Source organism: Homo sapiens, chromosome 15, assembly GCF_000001405.40.
Source record: "Homo sapiens chromosome 15, GRCh38.p14 Primary Assembly".
NCBI classification, from domain to species: Eukaryota; Metazoa; Chordata; class Mammalia; order Primates; family Hominidae; genus Homo; species Homo sapiens.
In genome coordinates, this window is record NC_000015.10 from 69877958 (window position 1) to 69890013 (window position 12056).

General features: G+C 47.0%; 1 annotated feature.

The window, feature by feature from the left end:
* Positions 3390-3679: an enhancer, noted in NCBI's record as "active region_9664". NCBI's record gives its function as "activates an Ori minimal core promoter by ATAC-STARR-seq in GM12878 lymphoblastoid cells {active_cell/tissue: GM12878}" and the evidence as "EXISTENCE:reporter gene assay evidence [ECO:0000049][PMID:35858748]".

Below are 12056 nucleotides of genomic sequence, written 5' to 3' on the forward strand. Positions count from 1 at the left end.
TCACGGATAATCACTTGGATTCTTGTGCTAGATGACTGGTCTTATTCATCACATTCTGATTCTTCCTAATTTCATACTCATGCTAACCTGAAGGACCTGAGAAAGCCAGAAAGCAAGAGTTTGGGAAGCACTGTGTATTTTGACTTGGGTTTTGAAGGCACCCTGCCATGAGGCCCTCCAAATGCAAGTATGTATTACAAGCAGTGGGAAAATGTCCAATCTCTTCCTCCACTCCCTATACTGGGCGCTATGCTGTCAGTGGAGCCCCAAGCAGAAGAGAGCAGTGTCTGCCCTCAGGGGGCTCCTAGTCCAGTGTGTAAATGCTGGTGATTTCTGAGAGTGAGCTCTGATCACTTGGTGAGGTTGTGAGTCACCTATCCTCTGCGAACCAGCTACTGGAGAAACAGCATGGGGAGGAGGATGATAAGGATGATGATAATGGAGGGGGCAGGGGGAAAAGTGGGGGAGAAGGAGAGGGACAAATAGAAAGAAAGAGAGAGAGAGAGAGAGAGAAACAGCATGCCCACACACCATTCAGACACATAAAGGCAGGGGGGAGAGCTAGGGCCTCTGAGAAAACCTGAGCTGAAGTAGAACACAAGGTGAGGGGAGAGGGAACCTGGGGTTCCAGGTGTGAGCCAGAGGGGAGCGGGGGATTCAGGCCCTCTTGGGCCCTGCGGGCATGGGCCCCAGCAAGGTCTCAAGGCCCCATCTTGTGTGTGCATGTTACAGTTCTTCAGAGCACTAACCAAGATCCCACAAAAATACAGATCCAAATTTAAAAACAGCAGCCCTATGTATTAGTCATTTTCTCATGGGGGAGAGCTGCTTTTTGCCAGAAATCCTCCCAAACCATCACACGCCGCAGGGCTTAGGCCTTCCACCAAAGCCTGGTTTTCTGGGGACATTTGGGCTTGCTGTTATGTATCACTGCTCTTCCAAATGTGGTCCTCGTAGTGTTGGCATCACTTGGGATCTCCCTAGAAATGAGGATTCTCAGGCCCCGCTCAGGCCCTCTGAATGGGATTCTGCATTTTAACTCCCTCCGCTTGTCATTCGTGGGCACACACAGGGGTGAGAAGCGTTGGTCTATCCCACACTTGGGGAGCACCTGCCTGGGACACTGGCTTCTCTTTATCACACCCCTCCTTCCTCAGCCCCATCCGCAATGGTTTGCTGGTTTGCTGCCAGCCAGGAAAAGTCCATGTCTCAGGCCAGACTCTCAGAGGCCCAGAGATAATGGCTGAATATTGATGCCTCCCAAATGCATTTTAGCGAAAATGTCTTAAACATGTAAAAGCCTTTAACATCCCAGGGAATAAATTTCTAATAATGACATTTCAGGCCCTTTAACATGCCTTGGCAAAACAATATTTCTAGATAGGAGAAGATGCCTTCCTAACATTGCTTACATTCTGTCATGTAATAATAACTGGAATTTGTACAGCATCTTCCTTTCAAAACATGCATTTGTTACTTCTCATTTAATCCACCTGTCACCTGGGAGGTACGCCAGGCAGCTTTCAGGATCCCTATTTTACAGGTAGGAAACTGGAGCTCAGAGAGGTTAAGGGACCTGCTTGTGGCCACCTAACTGAAGAGAAGCAGAGGCAGGTATGGACCCCCAAATCACCTGCCCCCAATCCCTGTGCTCCTTCTGGGCAGACTCACAACTTCCAGGACAATCCTGCCGGAAGGTACTGTGTACTAAGGGAGGTCTTGTGGTGTTTGCAGTAGAATCCCATCTTAAAAACCCCAGGGCCAGGTGTCCAGTTTAGCCCAACAAACATTGTCCTCCCTCACTGGGCCCTAAACTGGGTGAATGAGACCCAGGCCCTGCCTTTGAGAGCTTGAATATTAGAGCTTCATTTTTTTTATTATTATACTTTAAGCTCTGGGGTACGTGTGCAGAATGTGCAGGTTTGTTACATAGGCCTACATGTGTCATGGTGGTTTGCTGCACCCATCAACCCATCATCTACATTAGGTATTTCTCTTAATGCTATCCCTCCCCTATCCCCTCACCCGCTGGTAGGCCCTGGTGTGTGATATTCCCTTCCCTGTGTCCATGTGCTCTCATTGTTCAACTCCTGGTTATGAGTGAGAACATAAGGTTTTGGTTTTCTGTTCTTGTGTTAGTTTGCTGAGAATGATGTTTTCCAGCTTCATCTATGTCCCTGCAAAGGACATGAACTCATCCTTTTTTATGGCTGCATAGTATTCCATGGTGTATATGTGCCATATTTTCTTTATCCAGTCTATCATTGATGGGCATTTGGGTTGGTTCCAAGTCTTTGCTATTGTGAACAGTGCCACAATAAACATACATGTGCATGTATTTTTATAGTAGAATGATTCATAATCCTTTGGGTATATACCCAGTAATGGGATTGCTGGGTCTAATGGCATTTCTAGTTCTAGATCCTTGAGGAATCACCACACTGTCTTCCACAATGGTTGAACTAATTTACACTCCCATCAACAGTTGATGGAGCAGAGATGTGTTCTTACATCACAGCCTCCCCAAATAATATATGAATGCTTTTTTCCTCTAAGAAAGCAGCTATTTCTCTCCTTTTCAAGATGAAGTAAAAATAGCTCAGCTCCCAGATCCCACCCCCACACCCCCAGCCAACAGCTGTCCCCCAAGATGCCTCTGGCTGGGCTTTGCTTGAATCTGACATAGGCCCCTTGGGCAACGCATTAGCACCTTTTACGTCTCACCTTGGCCTAAGAGTTTTTGGTACAAAGCCAAACTTCAACAAAACTTGAAACCATTTTTTCTTTCTTTCTTTCTTTTTTTTTTTTTTTCCAGCAACACATTTAAATAAGCTTTTCTCAAATTGGATTTAAGGCAGTTTCACTTCCCTCTGCTCTTCTTCAAATCAAAACTTACCTTTCCTGTGTCCCATTTCTTCAGAGTCTTTCAGATGATTTAAAGCTCATCTGTTAAACCACTTTGCATTTAGAAGGATTTCACTAATATTAGAATAATATTTTACTCCTCCCTGAGAAAAATATGCCTTTCTAAACTCATCATTGCCTTAATCCAGCATTCCACAAAGTGTGTGTCTGCAAAGCACTAGGTCTGAAAAGGGCTTTGTGAAAATATTTTTCCGGTCAATGTGGTTGGAAGATCCTGCATACTAAGTCCCCACCTTGGGTCATTAGCATAGTAAGGGCTCTGAGAAGTCCTGCGGGGTATAAAATGCTTTACGTTTGTTTAAATCAGCATTGCCCAAACTTTTTGGGGACAGACCCTCTTAACGCTTTTGCACATCTTGAATCCAGGTGCCACCTAACACACCTTTGGGAAATTTTGTCAACATCCAATGGCTGACTCCCTTTGAGGATTTCAGGTCTGCAAATGGGTGAGGCAGGACTTCCTCTGTCCCTCCAGTCAAATCACCCTGCACCCTGCGTGCTATTCCCCTGGGCCTCTCCTCATAGTCTGTTGCAAAAGCAGCAGAAGGTGTCCAGGCTGTTTTCTGCCTTTGCCTGGCTGTATGACCATACTGCAGTGACTCAGCCTCTCAGAGACTCACCTGTGAAGTGGGAGGGTCCTGCTCCTTCTATCTCACGGGCAACAGGGAGGCTCCGGAAACAGCCTATGTTTCTAGAGCACCTCAGTATTCGTCATCCTAGATTCTACAGGGACCTAAGACCATTGGTTTCTTAAGCAGTGGACAGTAGGGAGCAAGTCCAGCCTTGCTTCAGAGTGGCTACTCCAGCTCACCAAACTCAGGATGACATTTATGTCCTCTCACATTCCTACCAGAGGCCAATCTTGGAGCTATAGCACTACTCGGAATCCCACATTTTGGCAATGATGCCCAAGATCGTGCCTGGTACTTATTGTGGAAGGGGGATGGGGCCAGGTCGTGGGAGAGGGAGGTGGTGCACCCCTCTCTGCCATCACTTCACCAGCGTGCAGTCATCACAGCCTGTCCTTGGCTTCATCCTTCCCCCGAGCCACACCTGTTAGCAATCTGCACTGGCGTGTGCAGTGCCTGTGCACGACAGCCTGGCTGTAGAAATCCCGGGGGAGTTATTTTTGTCGCTTACATACATACCTTGTGTGCAGTCAGACGGGGGTGGTGTTTATGTCTCAGCTCCCTTTTGCAAAAAGAAAAAAAATTACAGTGGAGCTAGAAATGTGTACATTTTGAACAGCCGCCCTCATGCACTGTGTATATAACTCTGCTGCATGAAATTTAAACATAAACTCGAGTTTTCTGAGATTGGATGGAGGAAAATTTGGCCATTGGCATCACGATTATTTTTCTGCACCAACTGCCAAAATCAGGCATTAAAATACAACACTTCCACCCCCAGAAAAAAAAAAAAAGAAAAAAAAACCACATTCACATCTATACAACCTAATTTTCTCTGGGGACAAGGTAGCTGTTGTTGATATGACATGTTTTTGTAGCACAAATGTTGGCTCTTCAGCCCATTTTGCTCTTTTATATACACTCAAATGTGAAACATCTGAGAGAACACACACCATCAGTTCAGAGCATTCTCCCCTAGCCTTGCTGTGAGCTGAGAATCTGTACCAGACTCCAAGACAAACTCTCCAGGAGCTGAGACTGTAAGGTTTGATTAACTGGCACAGAGGGAAAAGGGTGTCAGGCTGCTTTCAGGGTCTAAGGGTGGGTGATCTTGGCATTATTATAGAAGATGGTGGTACAAGTGGGGTGGAGAAAGGGGAGGTAAAGGGGATGTGTCCCTACTATGGCCACTGGAGAAATAAACAAAGCTAAGGCAAAGTCCATTGGGATTCAGAATGATCTTATGTGTGTGCTAAAAAGGGAGATGATGATGGAGACACATGCAGGCTTTGGACACAGATGGACCCGAGTTTGAATTCTGACCTAGGAAAGCTTCTTCCTGAAGAGGCTGCCCACTCCCTGAGCAGTGCAGGCTACTTCCTCCCGGGTGCCTGTTGGAGGTGCTGCACCAGCAGCCCAGACTTGAGTGTGAGTGGTCCCCTATGGTGGTCTTCATGGTTTGTTCCTTGTATGGTCAGCAGCCATTTTGGATTCTTCCTGCCTTCCTAAAAGGCAGCAAAGGCCCTTCCCTCACCAGCAGCCCCGATTTCCACCTCTGATACTCACATCACAATCAGGTCTTCAATGGGAGGGTAAAAAAGTTGAAGACTGTGATTCTCTTAGCTCGCCAACTTTTATAATACATATTTCTAAAGTTTGGAAACTCTCTTAATTCTTTATTTTTTTACTGCTATAACAAAATATCTGAGACTGAGTAATGTATAAGAAACAGAAATTTATTTTCTTACAGTTCCAAAGGCTGAAAGTCCAGGATCAAGCCCTGGCATGTTCAGTTGTCTGATGAGGGCCGCTCTCTGCTTCCAAGATGATGCCTTGTTGCTGTGTCCTCCAAAGGGGACAAATGCTGTGTCCTCACCTCTTCTTGTATGACAGAAGGGAAGAACTCCCTCAGTCAAACCCTTCTATAAGAGCACTAATCCTATTCACAAGGGCCCCACCCTCATGACTTATTCACCTCCATCGCCAGTGTTTTTGTATATTTCCTTTGAGGACTTGGAGAATTTTTTTGTTTTGTTTTGTTTCAGAAATATCCTTCTGCAAGGACAGCAGGGGCTATGCTAGGAGTGATGCAAATGCACCAAAGGGAGAAGCAGAGGAAAAGCCTGGACAAGGATCCAACAGACTTGGAACAGAGAGGAAGGGAGAGCTGAGTCCAGGCTACCTCCTTCCAGTCATCCAATTGCTGGAGGAAGAGAGGTCAAGAGGGAAAGACAGAAAGCTTCTTAGAGTGTCAAAGCAAGAGTCAAGGTTGCAGGTTGTGGAAAAAACGGGTTGGTGGGGTCTTGGGAGGGATTGGGAGGGTGGGGGAGGTAGATGTGAAACAGGGCTCTCAGGAGGTGACGTTCCCTGCCCTGGGTAGGCCTGAACCAGGCAGATGGCTTGGAGTGCGGGACCCTGCTAACCAACAGTCTGAAAACAAATGGCACAGGAAGCCCGCTGCCGGTGAGCCCAGTACCTACTCACCCTGTCCTCTCTCATCTCATCACACGGCACCTCCCTCTCTATCTGCAGCTCATGCTCACTGAGCAACCTAGTCACCCAGGCAGGCCACCTGATGTTTTCCATGCTACCTCTGTGATTGTCCAGAGTGGCATTAACCCACTGAGGAATCTGTCAGGCCTTCAGCACAAGGTTCTTGACTATTGTGTGACCCTGGAAAGAAGACTCACCAAGGCTTGGCAAGGTTTGGTTTGAGGAATATCAAGGATCCCTTCCTGCCAAAGGCCATCATGCCTGTACTGCCACCATTCAAGCACTTTAAGAGGCAGTATGATGCTCTGAGCACTGGGAGGGGAGTCAGGACCCCTGGGTCCTGGTCCAGGATCTGTTCTTCTGAATTAGGACTTGGAGAAGTCATTTCACACTCTGAGTTCACATTTTTCATTTGGTTAATTTAAAAAAAGAAAAGATTGGTTGGAGGCAAAACAGACAAAGCAAAGACTTGCTCCAGGAGTGAAAGGCCTAGAGTCAGTTGTACACACTACGAATGGGCCAAGTCCCTTAGGGTAAGCACTGCTCACGCCCCCTCCTCTTAGGATTTTTTGAGCCATTAGAAGTTGCCATTCTAAGACCTGAGTGTGGATGAGTGTATTAGCCCCTATCTGGGGAGCCAAGGAGCTTAGGGAAGGGAGTTGGGTGCTCAGAACCAGGCTGAACCCAAGATCAAAAAAAGGAGATGGGAAAAATAGGGGTAGGGGTGCCTCAGCCTCACTGGAGGAGCTGACCCAGCCCCGGGGCTTTGCACTGGACAGAGTTTGCTTCCATGTCCCATTTGACCCTAACAACAATTCTGTAAGTTATTGTTATTGTTATCCCCATTTTATCCATGAAGCCCTTCCAAGGCTCAGAGAGGTAAAGTGGCTTACCCAAGTTCACACAGCTGGAGGAGCCAAGTCTCAAAGCCAGTTACACTTGACTCCAAAGTCCAGGCTCCTTCCAGATCTCTGCACTGTGCAAGCCCAGGGGTGAAATGGGGCTCTTGGGGTGGGCACAGGCCCCCACTCTCCCCATCCTCTCTTGTGTCAGCAGCATGGTGAGCCCAACACTCTCACTAGGAGACAAAATTCATCTGAACTTGCCTCCCATGGAAGGGCTTTGTGGAAATCTCTGGATAGAGGAGACATTTTCCCTTAGTGGGGGCAAGAGAGGGAACTGGTGGCTGCTTTCAGAGGGCTGAGAAAGCCACATTGTGGGCTGATGAGAGGCAGTGCTGGTGACCCTAGGAGATGGCAAGGCAGGTCCAGAGGGAAAGGCTGAAGTTCGGTGTTGGAATGCCAGTGCCTGCCTCTTACCACCCAACCCTTCTCACCTCCTCCACCCAGGCCCCCTCCTCCACTGGCTCCCACACATTCTTCAACACCTCTTTAAAAATTAAGGGTGCAGTTGGGGTGGGGGCAGCTTCTGAAACAGATAAGAGGTAATTGCCTGCCTTTGACTCCTCTTGATGTGAAAATGGGATTGGAATGACTCACTCTAGTTGAAAGGTTAGTTGAAGGTTATTACAGGAAAATTGTTATTCATACATTTTTTCTGTGCGGCCGGATAGCCTAAAAGATTAAATTCACAGAGTGCATAATGACCCATCAGTGCGGACAATGGTAGGGGCGTCCCCGGGGAGGGGAGATAACCGAACAGAGACTTCTCTGAATAATTCATGCTCCAGTGCAGTGGCACTAACAGATTACATGAGGGTTTTCATTAGAAAGGAGAGGAGAGAAAGGCGCTTTGAAAACAGCCGGTGTGTTTCTCAGCATCGCAGGCAGCTCTGGCCCAGTTCGCTGTGGCTTCAATTAACGCCTGTCCCTACATCTTGGCGGCCCTGGGAGGGGGAGCAAGTGGGATAAGAGAGCTTCGTTGTTCATCCCGCAAGACGGGCGGGTGACAGACGTCCCACTCCTAAGTGAGTCTGGGCTACCCGGCCTCATTCTAAGCCTTGAAGCTCTCAAAGGGTGGGCAGGCCTGGAGAAGAAGCTGAGCAGCCTGTGGGGCTCTGGATTTATTTAAAAAATAAAGACGTGGTTATAGAAAATTTGGGTTTATTGAGAGTGTGAGAGAGGTGTCTTCTTCCTGTCCCATTGATCACGTCCCAATTGGTGCCTTTTCTGATCTTCCCAGAGGATGCAAGGGTCGCCCACCCACCAATCATTTGTGATCAACACTTGTCAGAGGGGGAAGGGTCTCTCGGTTGCAGATGGGCAGAAAGGGAGCTGTGGATGCAAACAGGGCTCAGAAGGTTCAAGACACCAGCTTGGGCCTCTAGAGGATTAGGATTTAAACCTCAGTCCTGTGAGCTTGGGCAACTGGTGTCTCTGTTCCCCCATCTGTGAAATGGGATGAAATAACTGCACTTACTCCAAAGAGCTGTTGGGAGATTACAGTGCTTGGAAAAGGCTAAGTGCAGTGCCTGGCACCTGGCAAATAGGAACTCAGTGCATGTGGAGCACTTCTTCCCGACAGATCTTCTGGATTGACTGGTTACATTGGTCTCTTTGCCTGAATATGACAATCACATATTTGTTCCTTCACTCACTCATCCATCCATCCACTCAGTCATCCCTCCTTTCCTGAGAGGCCCACTCTATGCCTACCCTCAGCTGGGCACTGGTTCCAGAGAACTCACTCTCATGTGGACCCATCCTCCCAGAGCTCCCAGCATGAGGGAGATACAGACATGTGTGCCAGCTTCAGGGTCTCCCTCCTTGACCTAGAAAATCCAGCATGGCAGAAGAGAGACCGTAAAAGGTAAAGAGAATCCTGCAAAGATTGCCTTGGGAGCTCACGTGGCTTGAAACAAAATGAGATATAGAATCTTGGGCAAAACATTGAGAGCTCAGTGCGAGCATGAGTTGGCACAATATTCCAGTGGGCAGTGATCCAGGTCATCTTTTCTCAGATAAGGTCATGGAAACCCATGGAACAAGGGGGACTTGCTCAAGGTCCCACAATTAATAAACCACCAAGACTCAATCCCAGGTCTCCTGCCCCCTCCCCACCTTCGAGTTTTTCCCTTCTGCTATATTCTCCAACTCCAACTTTGTCTAAAGATGCTACATTTTGGTAATGTTTTACTTAAGACTTTGAAAAAGATTGTCCTTTCCATTTAAATAGTAGTTCATCGCTCACTTTCAGTTTATTGAAGCTTATCTTAAGTGGGCACAGTGTCTCAGTTCCTATCGGTGGATCATATGTCATCACACCCAGTTGGTACTCAAGATAAACAGCTGTTGTTTTCTTAAGCCCTAATTAAATCCTAAATCAAGCAATTAATTTATCCCCTAATGCTTATGATTCGAGTATATGGATTCAGATCATCCTTTTCTTCTCCTTCCCTCCCTTCCTTCCACATCTATGTAATGAGCAGCTACCTTGTGCTGGCCACTGTGCTGCCACATTTAGGGACCCAGGAATGACCACAGTTCTCACCTGGAACAGCCATATTCATCGGGTAGAGAAGAAGGTCAGGTCAGAAGCATTTCCCCTTTACAATGAGTGCACATGTTGGGAATGCACAGACCTGCACAAAATCCCAGCACTCCCCTTGCCAGCCAAGTGTCCTCAGCCACGCTGCAGCTTCTCTGAGCCTCAGCCCCCTCTCCTTCAGGGAGTGGGCTATGCTATCTCCCTCTCAAGGCTGCCATGGGGCATGAAGTGGGAAAATATCTAGAGGCTCTCAGCTTTCTAAGAAACTAGTGGTGATGTCATCTGATGTGATGTTTCAAGGGGTCAGTGTGGGAGAAGCCACTCTGCATTGGAGAAGCTGCAAGGGTTTCATGAGGACTGGGTATTGAAGCTGTATCTAGAACTACAGTGGGATTCAGACAATGTGGGGCTCAAGGTGGGAGGGTGCCCCAGGCAGAGGGACCAGCAGGAGAAAAGGAAGGAGGAAGGATGGGTGCAGAGCATGTGAGAGAACAGTAGGGTGTCAATTTTACTGGAGCGTGGGATTCTGGAGAGTGAAGACTGCAAAGAGGCTGGGTCCTAGAGCAGGTCACCAAGTTTGAGTCAGAACAAACAAACAAACAAACAAAAAAGAATGTTGGATATGGATGGTAAAACCCATTCTGATGAGGTGTCAGGTGGAACTGAGGAACAAGATGTTAGAAACTAAAGACCATTCTTGTTACACACTTGCCAAGAACTCGGCTGAATTGTGTCCATGCCCAAGGACTTTATAGAAGGTAATATTTAAGAGTGATGAGCTAGGATATCTGGTGAAAGAAATTTCTAAGAAAAATATTGAAGAAGCTATGTGCCTACTTTCACCTGCATATAGTAAGATACAAGAAGAAATAAATAGCAAGATGATATTTGTAATTTAAAAGAAGTGGAATGGAAATAGTTTGAAATTTTTAGCCTGGCCATGTAAAAAATAAAAAAGCATTTTAGAGAGAGCAAATCAAGGGTATGGCCAAGTGACCTTTGCTAAGGAGATTAATATGAATAGAAGGGATCCTCAAGACAATGGGAGAATGACCCTCAAAGCATTTGAGAGATCTTCAAGGCTGGCCTTCTCATCACAGGCCCAGAGCTCTAGGAGGGCAGAATGGTTTCAGGGAACTGCCCAGGGCACCCTCCAAGGTTTTGCTGCCACCTCGGGACTCTGACGTTCTGGTGCAGCACCCCTTCAGCTATCCCAGTCACAGATTAAGTGAACCCAGATGTGGCCCAACTCACTCCTCTGCAAGGTAGAAGCCATAAACCTTTGTGGCATCCACATGGTGCTGACTCTGCAGGCTTGCATAATGCAAAAGCTGTGGGGGCATGGCTACCTCCACCTAGATTTCAAAGGATATCTCAGACAGCCTGGGGGTCTAGGCAGAGACGTGTCACAGGGGTAACACTGCAGAGGAGATTCTTTCACCACAGAGAGTCCCCTACTAGGGCAATACCTAGTATAGCTGGGGGAGTGGAGCTACTCCTGAGACCTCAGAACTGGAAAGCTACCAGTGTGCAAAGCCAGCCTGGGAAAGCTGCAGGCACAAAACGCTAACCTGAGAGCTGAAGCATGGGCTAAGCCTAGTAAAACCACGAGAGCAAGGCTACCTAAAAAAACCTTGGGGCCCCAACCCCCTATCAGTGTGCCCAGGATCCAGGACATGAAATAAAAGATTATTCTCTAGCTTTAAGACTTACTGTTTTTCCTATTGGGTTTTGGATGTAGTGGGGACTAGCTACCCCTTTCTTCTGGACTACTTATCCTTTTAGAAATGGGAATGTCTATCCTATCCCTGTACCACCATTGTATTTTGGAAGCACATAACTTGTTCATTTCACAGCTGAAGAGAAATTTGCTTCAGGATGAACTGTGTCTTAAGCCTCACCTACCTCTGATTCAGATGAGACTGTCTCTAGATTTTGGACTTTTGAGTTGGGACTGGAACAAGTTAAGACACTAGGGGCTGTTGGAATCGAATGAATAGATGTAATTTGTATGTGAGTGAGTTTTGGGAAGGCAGGAGTGGAATGCTAAGGTTTGAGTGTCCCCTCCAAAATTCATGTCGAAATTTAACTGCCACTGTGACAGTATTAATGGGGGAGACTCTTAAGAGGCAATTATGCTATAAAGTCTCCGCCCTTGGGAATGTATTAATGTCATTATATCAGGAGTAGGTTAACTATCATGAAAGGAGATTGTTAGAAATGTGAGTTCAACCCTCTCTGTTTCTCACTCTTGGCCTTGCTTCCCCTTCCTCTGTTTACCATGGAATAACACAGCATGAAGGTCCTCACCAGATGCTGGAGCCTTGCTCTTAGACTTCCCAGCCTCCAGAATTATGAGACAAATAAATTTCTTTTCTTTATAATTTACCAGTGGCATTCTGTTATAGCAACACAAAATGAACTAAGACAAACATTGGGATCAACGTGATGAGCTTGATGTAGCCTATTTTGGCAAGGATCTGTGTTGCAGACTGGCATGCACACTGTCACAACTTTGACTGAGGAGAGGCAGAAGGTCAAGATAGTCTAAAAGTAAGATGC